Genomic DNA, 21,433 nt, shown 5'->3' with positions numbered 1-21,433 from the left:
CTCCTAATAAAGTCTCAGCAGTTCCACATGGAACACTAACTGGCAGAACTTATCACTGCTGCCAGGAGGGTGAGGTTGGAGTAGGAGTGGGGAATGCCAGTAGTGAATGTGATGTTCTGCAGAATGTTGAAGGGAGAAACTTTTATTTATTTATTTTTTAAGGACTTTGAGACTGAAAGTTATTCTAGTGTTGGAGGGGAAGGCAGAAGGTCATGGTGTCACAGTTGCAGATGAGGAAAGATGGCTTTCTCCTTAGACTACATTTCTTGTTGAAAAATCCATTGTTGGCCTGAAGCAGGTAAACCAGTTGTCAGGAAATTAATGACAAAGGTCCTTTAATGGATCATATTCTGTCAGGGGGAAAGGTCCCTGGCTTTTAAGACAGAAGAACATTCCCTTTTGCCCATTCTAGTATTTTATTCTACTACCAGAGAGGCTTATAGAGATTAAGACCCACTGAATAACAGTAGGGCCCTAATGAAATTTTTAGTATTGACGTGTAGTTGATAGAATCTACATATATGTATGTGATTATTTTTGTTGGTTACTTATTGTATAACTTAAAAAATAGATTTGTTGAGATATAATTCACAAAAAAAGGAAATCCATCCATCTAAAGTATAAAATTCGGTGGTTTTTAATATATTCGGAGTTGTGTGGCCATCACAGCCATTCAATTTTAGAATAGTTTCATCACTTTAAAAAGAAACCTCATACCTATTAGCAGGCATTCCTCTTTCTACCTCCCCTTAGCCACCATGAATTTTCTATCAATGGCTTCTGCACACACCATATAAATGGAATAATATATGGCCTTTTGTGTCTGGCTTCTTACATTCAGCCTGATGTTTTCAAGGATCTTCCATGTTGTAGCATGTATCAGGACTTCATTACTTATTATAGCTACATAATATTCTATTGTATTGATACACCATTTTGTTTATCCATTTGTCTGTTGATAGATACTGTTGTTTCTTTTTCTATTTTCTAGTGCATCATTTTAATTCCCTTTTTTGTTATATGTTTTTGAGTTCTTTTTTAAAAATTCCCTTGGGGATTACAATTATCTTAATTTTTCACAATCTAATTTTGATTAATAGCAACTTAATTTTAATACTGTGTAAAACTTTGCTCTTATGTGGCTCTGTTTTCTCCCATATTTTTGTGCCATTATTGCTATACGAATGACATCTTTCTACATTGTGTGCCATCATCAATACAGCTTTACAATTATTGCTGTATGCAGTTAATTTTTTTTTCTTTTTTCTTTTTGAGACAGGGTCTCTCTCTGTTGCTCAGACTGGAGTGCAGTGGTGAGATCTCAGCTCACCGCAACCTCTGTCTCCCAGGTTCAAGTGATTCTCCTGCCTCAGTCTCCCAAGTAGCTAGGATTACAGGCACCCGCCACCACACCCGGCTAATTGTTTATATTTTTAGTAGTAATGGGGTTTTGCCATGTTGGCCAGGCTGGTCTCGAACTCCTGGCCTCAAGTGATCCACCCATCTTAGCCTCCCAAAGTGCTGAGGGATTACAGGCATGAGCTATCACTCCCAGCCTGCAGTTAAATTTTAATCTAGTGGAGGAAAAGGGCTACAAAGAAAAACCACGTTTATACTGTTTTTTATATTTACTATGCAGTTACATTTTTACTGGTGCTTATTATTTCTTTGTGTGGATTTAAGTTACTGTCTAGTTTCCTTTCAGCTTAGTCTTGAGAGTTGTCTGTAGTATTTCTTGTAGGATAGGTCTGCTAGAGATGACTTTTCTCAGTTTTGTCTTAATTTATCCTTTAATTTTAGAGGACCGCTATGTTACTGATTTTTAAGTTCTTTGAATATATTTATAATTCCTGATGTAAAGTCTTTGTCTAATAAGTTTAACATCTGGGCCTCCTCAGGAATAATTTCTATTCGTTGTTTTTTTCCTGCGCATGAGCCATACTTTCCTGTTTCTTTGTGTGTCTTATACGTTTTGCTGAAAACTGGACATTTAAAATAATGTGTCTATTCTAGAAACTCAGATTCTTTCCCCTACCTGGGTTTCTTGTTTTTACTGCATATTTATTTATTTTTGTCGTTGCTGTTTGTTTAATTATGTTTCTGGGATAATTCTGCAAAATCTGTATTCTTTGTATGCAGCTACTGAAGTCTCTGCTCAGTCAACTTAGTGGACAGCTAATGAGTGGAGAGAGTTTATTAAATTCCTTGAACTAATAAGTCTCTTAGCTTTTTCTGAGAGTCTCTGTGTGTTTGTTGGGGTATGTGTTTAATACTACTGCAGGCAGTTTACAACTCTGCCTTAGCTTTTATTTTCTGCCTGAGAAGAACCTCAAAGTCAGTCAGAAGTGAGAGATTAGGACCTTTTTAGATCTTTCCTGGGCATTTGTAGAGCCCTGCCCATGAACATGGCCTTTTAGGTTCCAAGGAATATTTGGGAGCATTATAGAAATCTCATTTCCTATTTTTTTCTTTAAATTTTTTTTTTGTTGTTGTTGTTAGACTTTTGTTAGCCCTAACTGGTATTGCTACCTCTGGTAGCTGTGATGTTAAATAATTACTGCTGATAGTTTTCAACAAATGCCCTTGGGATAGGGCTGTTCTCAAAGAGCAAGCTTTGAGTGAGGTCAAAGAAAGACAAAGCTGGGGCATGGAGCTTTCCAAGGGGCTTCCTGACAATTTTTCTCAGTATGGGACTTTTAGGGAGCTCCAAACCTGTTGTTCCTCTGCTGTCCACAGTGGTGGCTAGGCTGATGTTTTCACAACAACCACATTTGTGCACATGGTTTTTAAGTCTTCTAAAAGCTTGAGTGAGGGGGATGGGAATAGGGCAAGGTAAAAAACACCTCAAAGCTTACTGTTTTTACTGATATTCGGCTGTTTTTCTTGAATAAATGCTCCTTGGAATGTTGCAAGTCTTTGTTAATTCCTAGAGTACTGAAAAAGTTGATTTGGACAATTTTTACCACTGTTTTTGTTGCTATTGTGGAGGAAGAAATTTTTGATGGTCCGTTCTCTGCTGTTCTAGGAGTGTTGTCTATAAAATTCTTTTAAGAGCACTTTTAAAATTTGGGATGGGACAAGGGAAAATTGTTCTACCAAAAATACATCTGCACTCAAATGTTTATTGCAGCACTATTCACAATAGCAAAGTCATGGAACTAACCCTAGGTGCTTATCAGTGGTGGATTGGATAGAGAAAATGTGGTACATATACATCATAGAATACTATGCAGCCATAAAAAAGTGAAATTATGTCTTTTGCAGCAACATGGATAGAGCTGGGGACCATTATCCTCAGTGAATTAATGCAGAAACAGAAAATCAAATGCCACATGCATTCTCACTTATAAGTGGGAACTAAACAATGGGTACGCATGGACATAAAGACAGAAACAGTAGACACTAGGGACTCCAAAAGGGGGAAGGGAGTGGGAGAGGGGCTGAAAAACTACTTATTGGGTACTACATTCACTGTTTGGGTGATGAATTCAATAGATGCTCAAACCCCAGCATTATGCAATCTATCTACGTAACAAGCCTGCACATGTACCCCCTGGTTAAACAAACAAAAAAGATGAGATTGGGAAAAGCCATAGAAAAGTAATATTTCCTGAAACTAGTGACCCAAGAGAACTTTGAGGAAAGGTAAACTAATTATTATATTTTATACAAGTTGTTTTGTATTCATATTTTACAATATATTTATAAGATATATATGTATATATTTCAATATAACTTATTACATTACCTGGATATAATTATTTGACATAAATACAAACATGGTTGTATTCCAGATGGCATTCTCTTTGGAATTTTAGATGCCTTTGGGATTTGTACTGAACAAAAAGGTGAGAAGGTTCGCTGGTGTTAGAAGTTCTCTTTTGTTTTCTCTTTCACTTTGCTGTTTTAGGTGTACAGAGCCAGTGGGCCGGATGGAGCCACTGGCAGAGGCCAGAGAATCCACCTGCAGTTATGGGACACAGCAGGGCAGGAGAGGTATGAGATCTTCAGTTATGTGCTCCTTACTGAAGGAAAGGGAAAAATAGTTACATTCTTCAAACAGTGACCTGAGCAGGAAAAAGCCAGCCAATTCGTTGGTTTGCACTTGAATGCTGCCAAATTAGCAGGAAATTTGTCAAGTCTGAGATGAGAATGGTGGCCTTATTTCATACAAGGTCAAGGGAGAGGTTATGACTCTTACTTGTGGACTTTTTTCTTTTCCTTCTTTTAATTTTTTTTTGCTTAGATACTTTGCTCCATTTCCTTTTGCTATTTACTCAACCACAAGAAAGTGGCCAAGTTACATGCATTATTCTTACCTGACTGTTGAAATCTAGTGGGATATCTGGTTGGAATTAATTCATGTGACCAGGGGTTACTTGACCAAAATAAGCCACATGAAATCTTGATATAAAGTTGCTTTCAGTTAGCTAGAACTTCTGTTTTCTTTCACAGCCACCTTGAAGGATTTTGTTTTTTAACTTTTTATTATGGAAAACTTCAAGGATATTCAAAAGTGGAAGGATTATATGATAAACCTATGTACCCATTACTCAGCTTCAACAATTATGAAATTGTGGCCAACAGAATTTCATTTATACCCCTTACCTCTTCTCACCCCACCCCCTTACCATATAATTTAGAAGCAAATTCCAGACACTATATTATTTCATTTTTAATACTTGTGGTAATGTAGCTCTAAAAGATAAGAGCTCTTTTTTGTTTTTTTTTTGGGCGGAGTTTCATTCTTGTTGCCCAGGCTGACGTGATCTCAGCTCACCGCAACCTCTACCTTGCTGGTTCAAGTGATTCTCCTGCCTCAGCCTCCCGATTAGCTGGGATTACAGATGTGCACCACTACACACAGCTAATTTTGTATTTTTAGTAGAGTTGGGGTTTCTCCATGTTGGTCAGGCTGGTCTCTAACTCCTGACTTCAGGTGATCTGCCTGCCTTGACCTCCCAAAGTGCTGGGATTACAGGTGTGAGCCATGGCCCCTGGCCAAGAACTCTTTTTAATAAAAACATTGATTAAAAGTATTTGAGAAAAACCTAATATTGCTGATTAGATGACAAATTCATACCAATATTTTCTTCCCTGGAGCCTGCCTGTCAGTTACAGGTTTTACATATAGGCAAAGACGAGAGGAAACTGACTGGTGATAGGGTGGGGTTGGGGGTGGGGAGAGAGAGAGAGAAGACAGGGAAGACAGAAGGATAAAGCCTTGGAAGGCAGAGTACCAAGACAGAATAAGGTCTGAGTCAAGAGATTCTTACCTTCAAGCCAAACAAATGGCTATCAGAGATAAGAGATCTCTGCATATTCTGAAATTAAAAGATCATGGAACACATTGTAATGTCAAGTCAAGCTTTCACAATAGGAAAACATACACTATATTGCTTTTGGCCAAATTAACTCATAATTGTACATAAATTCTTGGGTGAGACTAAGATCACAAGCTGGTTCTTGTCATCCCTCTCCAGCAGCCTCGGTTTTCAAATCACATGGTCTGTTAACACTTAAACTGATATAAGTGATAAATAACTATCCTATATACTTTTGAAATATCACCATGTAGCTTGTTATTGGTAAACTTTTGTAAGAGGCTGAAGGCATTGCTTGTAGTTTTATATTTCAGGAGTGGGGCCGTGGTTTAACTGACCATTCTGCTTTTATGTTCCTAGGTTTCGTAGCTTAACGACAGCGTTCTTCAGAGATGCTATGGGTTTTCTTCTACTTTTTGATCTGACAAATGAGCAAAGTTTCCTCAATGTCAGAAACTGGATAAGTAAGTGTTATTGTTCCCCAGTGTCCTGCTACACAGTCCCCTCTTATTTATAGAATGCCCTCTTATGCTCTACTTCTGTGACAAATCGTTTTGGAGGAGATCTTAGTGCAAATACTATTTTAAGGAGCAAGGTTTTTAGTTTAGGGACAAAGATAATTGAAATACTCTGCTTCTCCCTGGTACTGATAACTTTGATTTGTTGAGTACTTCCTGTGCTCCAGGTGCAAGGCAGCACTTTATGTGTGCTCTCCTCTTCAGTCTATCCCACAGAAGAGACTCTTATTCCCATTTCGTAGATGAGGAAGTAGAAGCCTAGAGAAGTTAAATCTCTAAGTATCTGCTTGTCTATTGTATGCTATCAATTCTTCTATCATCTCTGGACATTAAATGGGTATTACATAGATGCAGATAGCTTTTAAAGACTTAATGGATCATACCCCTGGCTTCATGTCTTTTCTGTGCTTAGAGTCCCCTTCTAGCTTTTAGGGTTAGAGCATCTTTCAGGAGGATTCTGCCATGGAAAACTCTACAACTGCATTGGTAAAAGTGGTCACCAGTGCAATATATGTCAACCTTTATTTTGGAGAGATTTTAACCTCCTAAATGATTGGTTCATAGCCATTTCGAATTCTGCCACTTGACTGCATAACAGCTTTCAAATGTATATTTTCCCTGTTTGGTCATGTTAGTGTAACCCTAGAGAATCTATTAGGGAAGGCTGTAATATTAAATTCTTAACATCTAAATCTTTAAAACACTGATTTAAAAAGATCTGCTACTTAAACATTACTGTTTTGGGATTATGAAAGGGTAATTGGCTGTAGTTTTGATAGTAGAAAAGCTTAGATTAAAAATGAGTTTAAAAATAATTTAGTGCACTGTGGTTTTCACATACTTTGTATCTGATCCTCACAATCACCCTGGGCAAAGATTCGGGTCAGTGTTGTGTCCTTATTTCAGGAGAAGGACATTGAGCCTTAAAAAGTAATAGACTTATCCAAGGATATGAAGCTTTGGCTTTCCTTTTTAATGGCCTTTTTTTTGCCCGTTCTCAAGTCAGTTGGCCACTAAGAGTTGAAGAGCTATTAATTACTTTAAATATGAGTTCCCCAAATATAGTAATGCTTACTGGGGCTTCACTTCGCTAGATGCCTGGCTAAGTTGCCTCATTATTTCCCTTGTAGCTGAATGACAGTGGCTGTTTATGGTCTCTTACTCTCAGCCCGTGTTCATCATCCCTCCTTTGCATCATCAGAACAAGTTCTGGGGCTTTTTAAAATCAACTATTTTATAAGGATCACTAGAGAGTGCGCATAGAATCTTAGCATCAAAAAATAACGCACCTGTTTTTCATAGGTAGACACTAAAACTCTGAGACATTAGATAAATATTGCCTATCCTGGCTAACTAGTTGGATAAAGAACAAAATTATGTGAAAATATGTATACATATGTATGTATTTTGTTTTGTTTTCCTTAGAGAGTAAAAGAATCCTTATTGCTCAGTTAGGTAAAGAACACTTATACGTATTGAAGATTTTATATATTTAATAGAAAGTATTCTCCACCCCCTACCATTTAAACAAAAAGGTGTAATGTTCAGTGTCAGAAGTGGTAATATCAAATCTTAATTAGGAATAAACATTTGTTAATTATCTGTACTTTTATTTTTTTCTTCTTCCTGTCAGCCTTTTGAGTATTACAATGATCATTCATTTCTTATCTTTTTTTTTTTTTTTTGAGATGGAGTTTCTACTCTTGTTGCCCTTGCTGGAGTGCAATGGTGCAGTCTCGGCTCACTGCAACCTCTGCCTCCTGGGTTCAAGCAATTCTCCTGCCTCAGCCTCCCGAGTAGCTGGGATTACAGGCGCACACCAACACCCCCAGCTAATTTTTGTATTTTTGTAGAGATGGGGTTTCACCCATCTCCCGGGGTTTCATCCAACTCCTGACCTCAGGTGATCCACGCGCCTCAGCCTCCCAAAGTGCTGGGATTACAGGCGTGAGCCACAGTGCCCGGCCCATTTCTTATTTTTTAATAAAAATAATAGCTTAATACACACAAATACACACTCACACACACACACACACACACACACAAATACATAAAAATCAGTGGTGAGTGCCAGAACACAGTGTTGCATTAAAGAAGTAGCTGACTCGTGGGCCCTGATTGGCCTGGGAGAGGAGAGCAGGTCTATATACCCTCCCCTTTCCCTTTGCTCCTTGCAGACCCCTCCCTCTCACTCAATCTCTCCATGCCCTCTTGAGAAGGGTGATAAAAGTCTAAAGTAAGCCCCACTCAGATGAGGAGACAGAACAGAGGCTGAGTCCTCTGGGCCTGGATTGAAATCTGAAAGGAATTTGGTAGTGTGGTAGTCACTGTCCTGTCTTCCTGGAGTTCAGAGGAGTAAGCACGTCATGCCCAGAGTCACTCTTCATCCAGTGCTAGTGTGTTTCCTAAGGAAACTTTAAAGTAGCCTACATTTCTAAACTTTCTTCTGTAGAGTCCCATAAGTGGTGCAAAAACCCAACAGTATATATTTTACATATTTTTACTTCTTTATTTTTTATTCCCATTATTCTCTCTGTCTGAAAAACCCTTTCCACACCTGCCCCCATTTTTTAACCAACTGGAGTTCTGCTTATTCTTTAAAACCTAGCAAAGATGGCCTCTGTGAGATTCTCTGTAATAAACTTAGTTGTGTTAGATGTTTTCCCTCCTTTTAACCCCTGTTACATTTTATACTGTGTATAGGGTCCTTATTACATCCATTATCAGACTGTAGTTGTTTATGTAGGTGACTTTTTTCTTAGTGAAGTTTTTAAAATAACTGATTAATTTGCTTTTTAGATAAGCACAATCTTAGTAGAAAAATTAGGAAAAATGAGACAAAAAGAAGAAATCACCAATAATCACACTTCCTAGACTACCCAAAATAAATACTGTTAACCATAATTACTGGTGATACTTACATGCTCTTCTAAATGCTTTAATATATTAACTTAGTAGTTCTCAAATGTGAATGTGCATCTCAGTCACCTGGAGGACTTTTTAAAACACAGATTTCTAGCCCCATTTCCAGCATTCCTGATTCAGTAGAGCTGGAGTGGGACCTGAGACTTGCATGTCAACAAATTCTTAGGTTATGCTAAGGCTGGTGGCTCACAGTCTTTACCTGCAGAATCACTGGATTAATTCATTTTAATCCTTACCTTGACTGTATAAAGTAAGTAGTATCATTATCACCATTTACAGATGGGGAAATTGAGGCAGTCAAATAACTTCATCAGGGTCACACAGCTAGTAAATGGCAGAGCCAGGATTCATCCCTAGGTACACTGGATCCTGAGTCTGTGCTCATAGCATGACACTGGGCATGGACCTATAACACCTTATAAGGCATTAACAGAGCACAGAGCCACTCTGGAGACCAGAAAGATAATGAGGTAACCATGAAGCAAGTCTTGAAGGAAGGTTGTGGTTAAGTATTCAGTGATGTGGGAACAGCATGTGTAACAACCTGGAGGAAAGAAAGGGCATGGCTTTTCATGAAATGGTACACAGTTTAGTCTGTCCTCTGTAGGTCTTATTACCCCAGTTGCCCCATGAGGGCAAAGAACTGTTGTGAAATTCCATGCAGAGTATCAGGCCTGTGCTAATGCTCAGTAAACACCTGCCTACTTGACTTTCTCATGATAAGATATGATGAACACTACTTCATAATGAGGAACTAAAATGTCCACACTTTTCTGGTTAACCATGATGAAAAAATAAATTAGGCCATAAACTCTGAAGTATGTCTTACTGTGAACGTTTAGGCCTTAATTTTATTCTGGGGTGTGATGGGTAAGAAATGAGGTGTTATTTTCCTACTTTGAAAGATTAAACTATTTAGCTTAGTGAAGCTCTTTGGTTTGAGTCAATTGCTTTTTATAATTGTGCCTATTTGCAGGTTTTCAGGTGAAATAAAAGCTGCGGAATAAGAATTATAGTCCTCTGCTTCCACTTGGCTCTGGTGACAGAATCACTTACTGTTTATTCTGGGTCTTTTCTTCTCATTGAAGCCTGTATCTTGTTTGTTTTAAATGAGTTGATTCTGCCCTAGGATAATAGAAAAATGTGAAAAACATTTTGGATAGAAATAGATTAGTTTGGAGAAAAACAATTCTTTTAGAAATGTCATTGCTATGGAGAAAAAAACACATAAAAACAGTTTTAAGATTAGCAGTAAACCCTAGGAACTCCTGCAACTTTCTTTTCAAATAGCCTTCATAAAAAAGAAAGGTGTTTTGTATGTGTGTGTGTGCATATGTGTGCGTGTGCACATGTGGGCCCTCACACTTGAGAGGTAGCACATTCTCCTATAAACTCTCCGATATCAATAAACTGGGGTATGTGCTTAAGAATGGTTTTATATTTCTGCCCCAACTATTCAGCTTTACAGATAAGATTACTGATGCTTTGAAAGCATTATGTCAATTCCCAATATCTATATATACATTATAGTCTTCAAAGCACTTTTGCATGTATTGTTCACTGATCATACACTTACATTATTATTTACATATATAATAAACTTTCTTATATTAATAGGCCAGCTACAGATGCATGCATATTGTGAAAACCCAGATATAGTGCTGTGTGGAAACAAGAGTGATCTGGAGGACCAGAGAGTAGTGAAAGAGGAGGAAGCCATAGCACTCGCAGAGAAATATGGGTGAGTATTTTTGTGGAGAAGTCTAGAGAAAACATTTTCAATATAAACATTAGCAGGTGAATGGTAATGAAAAAGATAAAAGTGGACAATTAAAGCAAAACCTCAGCCATAGGCCTTGGGGCATGTTGAATGTGTCCTTTTTATATGATATGATAGTAGGATCCATTGACAATGCATGTGGCAAGGGCCTCCTTCAGTGCTTTGGTCCCATTTTCTCAAACTCTTGGCATTTGCAGAGAGACAACTTTGAGTTGTCTCAGAGGCGCCTTAAGTATGTAAGGCCTTCTTTCCAAGATGCAAATAGGAGACTCCTGGGGTAAAGAAATCCTCCATGTTGAGCGAGGAAATTTCTTTTTTCATTTCTTTTCTTTTTTTTTTTTGAGACAGAGTCTCACACTGTCACCCAGGCTGGAGTGCAGTGGCACAATCTCGGCTCACTGCAACCTCCACCTCCCGGGTTCAAGCGATTCTCCTACCTCAGCCTCCCAAGTAGCTGGGACTACAGGAGTCCACCATCATGCCCGGCTAATTTTTGTATTTTTAGTAGAGATGGGGTTTCTGGTACCATATTGGCCAGGCTGGTCTCCAACTCCTGACCTTGTGACCCACCCGCCTCAGCCTCCCAAAGTGCTGGGATTACAGGTATGAGCCACCACACCCAGCCTCAGCAAGGAAATTTCAAAGCCACTTCATGTACTATTGTAGAGAATGCTAGCATATAAGAAGGGCTTATTGGTTATTGCAGATTAGGTGCTGGTTTTGAAATTTCTATTCTGGGAGAGGAGTGTGAGATCTCCTTTGGCTTAGTCTATGGTCTTGTGGTGGAGGGTCAGCAAAATACTGTCGTTCTCCTTGAGTTCTGGGAATAGGATCATAGCAGCAGCAGCAGCAGCAGCAGCATGAACTGGACATGAAAGAAGTGGTCAGCTGCTGCTTATTAAAGTATTAAAGTGTTAAGGGTGCCTCTAAAAGGAATTTTTACTTTACTTTCTTTCTGCCTCTCACACAATGAGAACCCATATGTAAATTCAAACCCTTAATAGCATTAAAAGAGGAAGGAAGCAAGTGGGTTGAGAAGGGAGGGGAGGGAAATAGAGATGGTGTAGATGGTGTAGGGGATGTTACCTAGTTTGTGGCTTTGGTGGTTAGCAGAATCCAAGAAGGCCAAGAGAAAACCTTTCCCTTTTTATTGTGTGATCACTGCTTTATTCTTTCTTTGGTTGATGGAGGTTCAGAAAGCTGGTAGGGTTTATAGTGGGAAGGGAGGGGGAGGATAGGTTGGCCAGGTAGGAAGAAGCCAGACTCTGGAGGGGTTTGAATACCAGGTAAGGAGATTAGATTTGATCCCTGGAGGACAGGGAGTTGCTGAAAGCCTTTGAGCATGGAGGGATGTTATGTTTACATTTCCAGATCAGTCTATAGGCTATAGGTGGGGAGGGAGGAAAGACTAGAGATTGATAGATTGCAGTGGTCTGTGAGGTGGGCAGAGGCTAGCTTTGTGAAAAAGGAAAAGGAAGAATAAATCAGGAAAAACACATAGAGTAGGGCAGGATTTTAGGTTTTTCTCAAGGCTAGCTCAGCTGAAGGATTCCCATCCACTATAGGCTTACTCTGGCAAGGATTTGCAATTGCATGTAGAGGTTTTTACCCTAGGGCAGATGGTGTTTAACCATGTTAGAAACATCCAGAGAACTTTTAACACATTCTCATGTCTGGGCTTCACCTCTGACCATCAGACATAATTGGTTTGGAGGAGTTTCTCAGGCAGGGTTCACTTGAAGAAGCATACCTATACATGAAGGGATCTGTTACAGGAATTTGAGCATATGCAATTGTGGGAGCTGGGTAAGTAGTCTCTGTAAGGTGTTGTCTTTGTGTCTGATGCTGAAGCCTGAAGGACAGGACAGTCAGACAGGAAGGGGAGAAGGATGTGAAATGGGGGATGGATGGAAAAAGTGAGAACCAGCTGGTGCCCATAATGAGGGACTAAAACCCATGTCACTTCCTGTTGCCTCTGACCTGGCTGGTGTGGGTGTCCTGCAGAAACTGGGGCCCTTTGTCACAGGGCTAACAACATCACCTGGCCCAGGTGCAGGTCTAGTTGCAGGTTTATGACAATAAGATGAGCCAGCAGATAAGCGACAATATATGAGGGCTATGAAATGGAGGTTGCTTCACTTCCTACCCCCAAAATTGCCCCCAAATCTCTTTTGTGGCCCACCCTAACCAGAAAGGGCATTCTGGGAAATGTTGTTTAGCCTAGCCAAGCTGACTCATTACAAAGCCTGGGCATTGGTATCTTTTAAAATCTCCCCACGTGATCTTCATGTGCAATGGTTGAGAACCAGTGACTTAGGTGATTCTGAGGGGGAGGCTGACAGAGTCTTACCGGCCAGTCTGAAATGTCCCCCTGCTCCCCTGAGAGGCACTCATGTAACGTAGTGGAAAAGAAACAGGGAGAGAACGATTACCACAGAGAATGCTGTAGTGTTGAAGCTGTGAGGTATGTTGCAATGGGTAAGGAGGAAGTAAGTGATGAAGCAATGGAAACCATGGATCCTAGAGCATTCTTTTGAGAGTATGTCAGTAAATGCAAAGAAAAAAAAGAAAAAGGCAGTTAGAGGAGTTAGCTAGATCAAACAAGCACATTCAAGTATATTCTCAAGTACTGGGGGAGGGTCAGGCTTGACTTCTTGCCCCTGTGGGCTTTTTCAGCCCTTTGCTTGTTTCCTGTGCCCTCGGTCTTAGGATTCCACAGCCTGTCTGGTTTCACAGAGCCTAACCCTGCCTTCTGTCATATGGGGTATCTGAGGGGTGTGGGGGACTGTCTTTGACCTGTGCCCAGGTCACGATGGTTATGGAGTATTTCATAGAGAGGAGCTCAATCTATAGTTTTTGAATTGGGTTAAAATGAGAAAAGAGGATTTAGCAGATAATGATTGAAACCCTTGAAGAAAGGAAAGGGCTAGAAACAGAGTCCCTTAGGATACAGAAAGCATACCATGTAGTTTGGTAGGCTGTTTGGCACTTTTAGAGGAAAATATGATGGAAAAATTTGGTTCACATGCATTTCACAAATATGGCATATAACTTTAATGATTATTTTCACAGATGTTTTGTTTCATTCTTAGAACATTTACACTGGTTACACATGCACTAAAGGACTATATTGTTTAGTTTATCCATGTGCTAACAGTCAGAAAACAGGATAAAGTTTATGGCATATCTTCATATAATTTGTATGTTGTTTGATAAATTTACATTTTTTGTTACTATTATGCTGTCTTCTATTCTCAATTCATAAAAACAGATCACTGGGGCCAGGTGTGGTGGCTCATACCTGCAATGCCAGCACTTTGGGAGGCCAAGGCAGGTGGATCACCGGAGGTCAGGAGTTCTAGACCAGCCTGGCCAACATGGTGAAACCCCATCTCTACTAAAAATACAAAAAATTAGCCAGGTGTGGTGGCGGGCACCTGTAATTCCAGCTACTTGGGAGGCTGAGGCAGGAGAATCGCTTGAACCCTGGTAAGGCAGAGGTTGCAGTGAGCCAAGATCGCACCATTGCACTCCAGCCTGGGCAACAAGAGCAAAACTCTGTCTCAAAACAAAACAAACAAACAAACAAAAACAAACAAACAAACAAAAAAACCCCAGATCATTGGTTTACAATTGGTTCTCTGGAATAGACATATCAAAGAATCAAACACCATGTCTCAGAAGAACTTTGTAAGCCTAATAAAGAACACTACAGTGCGAAAATGGAATGTTAATCTGTGTGTGCTGGGACAAGTAAATTTGAGAATGAGGACTTCATACAACAGACAAAAATGTAAAGGGCAAATTGTATGCATGATAATGAATATCAGAAAAAAAATTTGTAGTGGCCTAAGAGTCTACCGCTAATTTTCCATGTTTTTTTTTTTGTTGTTGTTTGTTTGTTTTTGCTGTGAAACTTGGTTAAATTGTAATATGAAGCTCTTAGGTCACTTCCTAACAAATCAAAGTGATCTCTGTGGTAAACCAATTGAATTTTCCTGGAACAAATGCAACATAATGGTTTCCAATGTATTATATTGAGTGATATTGTCAATGAAGTTGGAGAAGAGAACAAAACAGAAAGTTGTTCAAATTTGCACTCCTGCCAGCCAAGTGATTACAGTTCACATGGTTACTGAAACACTTTAAAAAGATAGCTACGAAGTCAGTGACAAGTAGAAGAGAAAGCTGAATGAAATATTGGCAACATTCCTCTTTTGGAAGACACTATTAGATCTCAAGCTTCAGTGTGCATCAGAATCAATCACCTGAACACTGGGTCCCGCAGTTTCTGATTCAGTAGGTCTGGGTTGGAGCCCACAAATGTATACTGATGATCAGTTTCTAGATGTTGCTGCTGCTGGTTCAAGACAACACTTTGAGTTCCTATCAAAGACGCATGCTAGCAAACATTTTGCTTGACAGGTGAGCATGCTAGCAGATATTTTCTTTGGACAAAGTCATTCTTGTACAGGATATGAACCAATTGTCTACTTGTGCCATGCATGAGTGAGTGAAATATGCTCAATGACTTCTCATTGGAAAATCCATGCTAAAGAGAGGAAGATTTTTTTTCTCACCCAGTTAATTACATCACCTATGATATAGGCTGGGAAGGGACCTTGGCATTGGTAGTGAGGGAGCACCAACCACAAGTGAGCAGACAAGGGCTTCACTCTGTGACTAAATATGGTTGCGTTGAAATGTCTGTCCATACTTTATTCACAGAGGATAGTTGGTGGTCATAATAAGCCTTTGTTCTTGATTCAGAGTTGAGGAAAATAGAGAAAAATGTGAATATGATCTAAAGCTGGGCATGGTGGCTCATGCCTGTAATCCCAGCACTTTGGGAGGTTGAGGTGGGTGGATCACCTGAGCTCAGGAGTTCGAGACCAGCCTGGCCAACATGGTGAAACCCCGTCTCTACAAAAATATAAAAATTACCTGGGTATGATGGTGGGTGCCTGTAATCCCAGCTACTTGGGAGGCTGAGGCAGGAGAATTGCTTGAACCCAGGAGGCAGAGGTTGCAGTGAGCCAAGATCACACCATTGCACTCCAGCCTGAGCAAAAGAGCGAGGCTCTGCCTCTAAAAAAAAAAAAAAAAAGAATGTGAACTAAGAATGACAACTGAATGTACATATTTTGTGTACTGTGCAAAGAAATGGGCAGCAAATTTAAGATGATGTTCTCCCTGCTGAAGGCTGCTGGTTATTGCTGAGGAAGATGCTCAAGAGTTCTGGAATGAAAGAGGAATTAAAAATATTTATTTACAACATTAATAATATCAGTATGGATCATTTCAGGGATTTCAAGTAGCTTAATTCAACAGCATGCTCACTGTTTTCTCTAGTTTGAACTAGATGAAATGCGGTACAAATAGCTTGATCTCTAATAGTTTAGTCTTTTAAAACTTGATTACATCTTTTCTTGATTTGAGAAATAACTTAGCGATGTAGCATTGGGCATGTTTGAAAAGTACACAAATAAGTCAAACATACAAGACTGATTCACAGAGCTCCATTTAACTCAGCAGAGGATCTGGATTTCATTTGCTGCAATATCCCAGGTTCAAACAGTCAGCACACCAGCCATTTCCTGGAAATGTTGTTCAATTAGCATCCAACAGACTGTGAAAAGTAGTGTGAAACTCACTTCTCACTTTAGTGAGACGTTTGTTCATAATTTCTAGATCTACATGTGAGCCAAATATCTACAGCCATTTGACAGAACCACCAAACATACTTGCTGTTATTCCTGGCAACCTCTAACTGAGATTTAGGATCTTTTAGTTTTGTGAGAATAAATAATGGAAAAGAAATCAGGATGCTGACCTACGCCACAAGCAAGATCTTGGTGAAAAACTGCAAATGCTTATGCCCCTCTCATTGATTTGAATCTGTTTACTTAAATTTTTTATTTTAAAATTTGTGATTAATCTATTTTTGGAAATGCATTATAATTAATGGTCTCCATGTACTCCAAATGGCCTTTAAGTGGCCACTTACAGACTGGTAATAACGATGAGCAGTGCTGAATTTTTTCGTCTTTGGCAATACGGCTCCATGGTGGTGCTACATTAGCACCACCATGTGGAGAAAAGGAACAATAGCACTCTTTCTATGGTTAAAATGGGAACAATACATCCTCTTGAATTTTTTTTTTTTTTTTTTTTTTTTTTTTTTTTGAGATGGAGTGTAGCTCTGTCACCCAGCTGGAGTGCAGTGACACGATCTTGGCTCACTGTAACCTCTGCCTCCCAGGTTCAAGCGATTCTCCTGCCTCACCCTCCCGAGTAGCTGGGGCTACAGGTGTGCACCACTGTGCCCAGCTAATTTTTATATATTTTTTTTAGTAAAGACGAGGTTTCACCATGTTGGCCAGGTTGATCCTGAACTTTTGGCCTCAAGTGATGCACAAGTCTCGGCCTCCCAAAGTGCTGGGATTACAGGTGAGCCACCGCCTCCAGCCTGGAACATCATTTTCTTATGGAAAGAAAGTCTTAATTCAGGGTCTTTTCTATGGCTCTCATCTAGTTTGCTAGATGAGATTACAGCCCAATTACTGGCACAGAGCTGAGAGTGGAGTGAACTCTATTCACTTATTCCTGTAGAAATGAAAATCTTACTGCCTCAAATTGCTCAGAAAACTCTGAGTGATTAGTCTAAGGATTTTTAAAGTTGTTAACCTGACTCCTGGTCCCATGACCTAGAGGTTTACAAATGGCAAGAAAGTATACTTTTAATTGAAAGAAGTTTGTTACTTGAATTTGGAGTTACAAATCTAAAGTATGTCTTGTTAATATTGTGTGTCTTTTAGCATGAGTAACTTGAAAAGTTAGAGCTCTTATACCTTGAAATTATACCAATTAAATATTTGCTTAAGTTAATAAACATTGGACAGTAGCTCACAGCTCTGCTAGAAGCATCATTTATACGTCAGTATTAATCAGTAGAGTAAGATCCATTGTCTTCCAGCATTTCATGAAGATTGCTTGGAAAGTGAGGAGTTTAATGAGGAGTAAGGGAGGCAAATGCTTTGGAGGCACAAAGCACTTTGGCCAGGACAGGTCTGAGTGCAGCATCTCTGGTGTAGGGAGGCGTGGTCCCAGGTACCAGAATTAGAGCAGTATTGTAGATTTTATAGATCAGCTACATTGTGGATTAAACCAATGTTCATGGGTTAGTTTGCAAATTTATTTTTATTTTTTATTCTTTTTTTTTCACACAACACACAGATTGAGAATTTAATGTTTACCATGTTGCTAGTGACATTGCTTTTTTGGGATGATGTATTCTGAGTTTTTGTTTTTCTTTTCTGAGACAGAGTCTCCCTCTGTTGCTCAGGCTGGAGTGCAGTAGCACCGCCTCGGCTCACTGCAACCTCTGCCTCCTGTGTTCAAGAGATCTCCCGTCTCAGCCTCCCTAGTAGCTGGGACTACAGGCACGTGCCACCATGCCCAGCTAATTTTTGTGTTTTTAGTAGAGACAGGGTTTCACCATGTTGGCCAGGCTGATCTTGAACTCCTGACCTCAACTCCGACCCTGCCTTGGCCTCTCAAAGTGCTGGGATTACAGGTGTGAGCCACGGTGCCTGGCTGTGTTCTGAGTTTTAAATAACATCATTACAAATAAGCTTTTATCACCTAACCCAATTCTGTGTTGGAAATAAGAAACATTTATTGTTTGTACATGTGTCAGGTTCTGATCTAAGTGCTTTAAATATTAACTCATTTAATCATTACAAGAAGATACTGATGTTATTTGGTATTACAGATGAAGCAGCGGAGGCACAGAGGTTAAACTTTTGTCAGAATCACAGTTGGTAAGATGTACTACTAGGATTTGAAGCCAGGCAGCATGACTCCAGAGGTTATGACTTCTTTTTTTTTTTTTTTTTTTTTTTGAGACGGCGTCTCCCTCTGTTGCCCAGCCTTGAGTGCCGTAGCACGATCTCGGCTCACTGCAACCTCCGCCTCCCAGGTTAAAGTGATTCTCCTGCCTCAGCCTCCTGAGTAGCTGGGATTATAGGCGCCTGCCACCACGCCTGGCTAATTTTTGTATTTTTAGTAGAGACGGGGTTTCTGGTCTTGAACTCCTGACCTCAGGTGATCCACCCGTCTCAGCCTCCCAAAGTGCTGGGATTACAGGCGTGAGCTACCGCGCCCGACCTGAGGTTATGACTCTTTTTTTTTTTTTTGAGACGGAGTCTCGCTCTGTCGCCCAGGCTGGAGTGCAGTGGCGCGATCTCGGCTCACTGCAAGCTCCGCTTCCCGGGTTCACGCCATTCTCCTGCCTCAGCCTCCCGAGTAGCTGGGACTACAGGCGCCCGCTACCACGCCCGGCTAATTTTTTGTATTTTTAGTAGAGACGGGGTTTCACCGTGTTAGCCAGGATGGTCTCGATCTCCTGACCTCGTGATCCGCCCTCCTCGGCCTCCCAAAGTGCTGGGATGACAGGCGTGAGCCACCGCGCCCGGCCGGTTATGACTCTTAACCATTGATCCATGTTGTTGATAACTTCCATGCACAGGTTTTATAGTTTTCAAAGTACTTTCACTATGTTTTCTCATTTATTCCTCAAAAATGATGGTGAAGTAATTTTCAGGAGCTGTGGAGGAAAATTAAGGAATCAAATGAGGCTGGAGACTCTGGAGTTGGAAAGATATTTGTAACTGATTTTGAGAGAATTTTTAAAATGAAGTATACATTATTGTGATTTAGCATTTTAAAAAAGCTTACTGTTCAACTACTTTTTAAGAAATTTCCAATTTATTCTGTTGCGGGAGATCTGAGTTTTTCAACTGCTTTTTCATGTAATGTATTTCTGAAAGGTGATAGAATGGTCAAACCCTCTCCTTAAGTATAAGAAATGTTCTGTGGACATTAACTGATTTTTAATGGATATAATTGAGAAAGATCATAATGAAGAAAATGTAACAATTTACATTTTGAAAAATCTCATTCTAAAATTCTATTCTTGTAACAATGGCATCACAAGCTATCCCCAGGATTTTAGCTCAATAATATTATAGATTCTTGATAAATAAACACATATTGACTCCAGTCACAAAGGATTGCCTCTTCAAGTTGTTAATCAAATATTACATGTGACTAGTGAGGGACAGAGATGCATTATCTTCATTTTGTGTGCAAGGTGATAGATGGAGGAAAAAAGATTGACAGTAACTAAGAGGCAAGCAGGAGGTTTAAAAACTGCGAAGACCATGTCATTTTTCCCAACAAACTTTTTTCTGATTAAGATATTTTAGAGTCAGGAAATAAAAGGATGATAGAATATGAGCATGGTGGAGTTAGGGGAGCAACTCTGCCTTGCAGAACTCACAGGTGGGTGGATAAACACTCAAATGAGGTGATAGTTTCTCAACCAGTTTTTGTTGTTGTTGTTGTTGTTTTGAGACGGAGTCTCGCTCTGTCGCCCAGGCTGGAGTGCAGTGGCGTGATCTTGGCTCACAGCAAGCTCCACCTCCTGGGTTCATGCCATCCTCCTGCCTCAGCCTCCCGAGTAGCTGGGACTACAGGCGTCCACCACCATGCCTGGCTAATTTTTTGTATTTTTAGTAGAGACGGGGTTTCACCATGTTAGCCAGGATGGTCTCGATCTCCCGACTTCGTGATCCGCCCGCCTTGGCCTCCCAAAGTGCTGGGATTACAGGCATCAGCCATCGCGCCCGGCCTCAACCAGTTTTTAATAGCTGTGCTAAAACAGAGAATTGCAGAGATTCAGTTGCAAGGCCTTATCACCTCCTGGAGGAAGTTATCAAATAATAAGACAGCATTACTGAGGAATCATACTGGAAAAATAGCCTTATGTCCCTACACATATATCCTCTAAATCAGTGGTCCCCAACCTTTTTGGCACTGGGAACTGGTTTCATGGAAGACAATCTTTCCATGGACCAGTGGAGGTGTGGGTGGTTTTGGAATGATTCAAACATATTACATTTATTGTGCACTTTATTTCTATTATCATTACATTGCCATATATAATGAAATAATTATACGGCTCACCATAATGTAGAATCAGTGGGAGCCCTGAGCTTGTTTTCCTGCAACTGGACAGTCCCATCTGGGGGTGATAGGAGACAGTGACAGATCATCAGGCATTAGATTCTCATAGGAGAGTGCAACCTAGATCCCTCACATGGGCAGTTCACAATATGGCTTGTGCTCCTATGAGAATCTAATGATGCTGCTAATCTGACAGGAGACAGAGCTCAGGTGGTAATGTGAGTGATGGGGAGCAGCTGTAAATACAGATGAAACTTGGCTTGCTCGCTGGCCCCCTGCTTACCTCCTGTTGTGTGGCCTGGTTGCTAACAGGCCATGGATTGGTACCAGTCTGTGGCCTGGGGATTGGGAACCCTTGATCTAAATATGCTTCTTAGTAACATCAGAAGTGAAAGAGTTCTGAAAAGATCTGTAAAAGCATTAACAAGTTAAAAAAGAAAACTTTACCAAGCTCTCATATAGAAGCTGTTACTAGCCAAGAAAGAATAAAAGAGTAAGGTAAATTGTAATCAGAGTAACTGATGTAGTTGTTAACATGCTATGAGAATACAGAAAAACAAAAACATTCTTCAAGAACAGTAATCGTGGAGGACTTTAAAGTTCTAATAAATTTAAGAAATACTTTACTGAATTCAATTGCAGGACTCCCTGAGATAATAAAATAACTTTGCTTTGTTGTTTTGATATCTAAGAACATTTTGGTTAGATTCCTCACAAGTGGTGGCAATGAAGTCAACAGTTGAAGGAAATACAATGTTATCACGACTTTCATGGCTTTATTGAAAAGCAAGGTGAATTTGTCACTTGATTAATCCTGTTGCAAAGACCATCTCAAATGTATAAAGGATGACTTCGAC

At 39.9% G+C, this 21,433-nt stretch overlaps 1 protein-coding gene across 18 annotated transcripts in view, besides 1 other annotated feature; it reads left to right on the top strand.

Moving 5' to 3' along the window:
- The window catches only part of RAB27A (RAB27A, member RAS oncogene family), a 116,158-nt gene that overhangs the window by 84,727 nt on the left and 9,998 nt on the right, over nucleotides 1-21,433 (top strand). For all 18 annotated transcript variants that reach the window (NM_001438970.1, NM_001438977.1, NM_183235.3 and 15 more), the window contains 3 exons: nucleotides 3,911-3,996; nucleotides 5,685-5,788; nucleotides 10,385-10,508. In NM_001438970.1, coding sequence (NP_001425899.1) covers nucleotides 3,911-3,996; nucleotides 5,685-5,788; nucleotides 10,385-10,508 — 314 coding nt within the window. The remainder of the gene's footprint in view (nucleotides 1-3,910; nucleotides 3,997-5,684; nucleotides 5,789-10,384; nucleotides 10,509-21,433) is intronic.
- Nucleotides 11,248-11,317: an enhancer, noted in NCBI's record as "active region_9439". NCBI's record gives its function as "activates an Ori minimal core promoter by ATAC-STARR-seq in GM12878 lymphoblastoid cells {active_cell/tissue: GM12878}" and the evidence as "EXISTENCE:reporter gene assay evidence [ECO:0000049][PMID:35858748]".

Source organism: Homo sapiens, chromosome 15, assembly GCF_000001405.40.
Source record: "Homo sapiens chromosome 15, GRCh38.p14 Primary Assembly".
NCBI classification, from domain to species: domain Eukaryota; kingdom Metazoa; phylum Chordata; class Mammalia; order Primates; family Hominidae; genus Homo; species Homo sapiens.
This window is presented reverse-complemented; position numbering and strand designations above follow the sequence as displayed.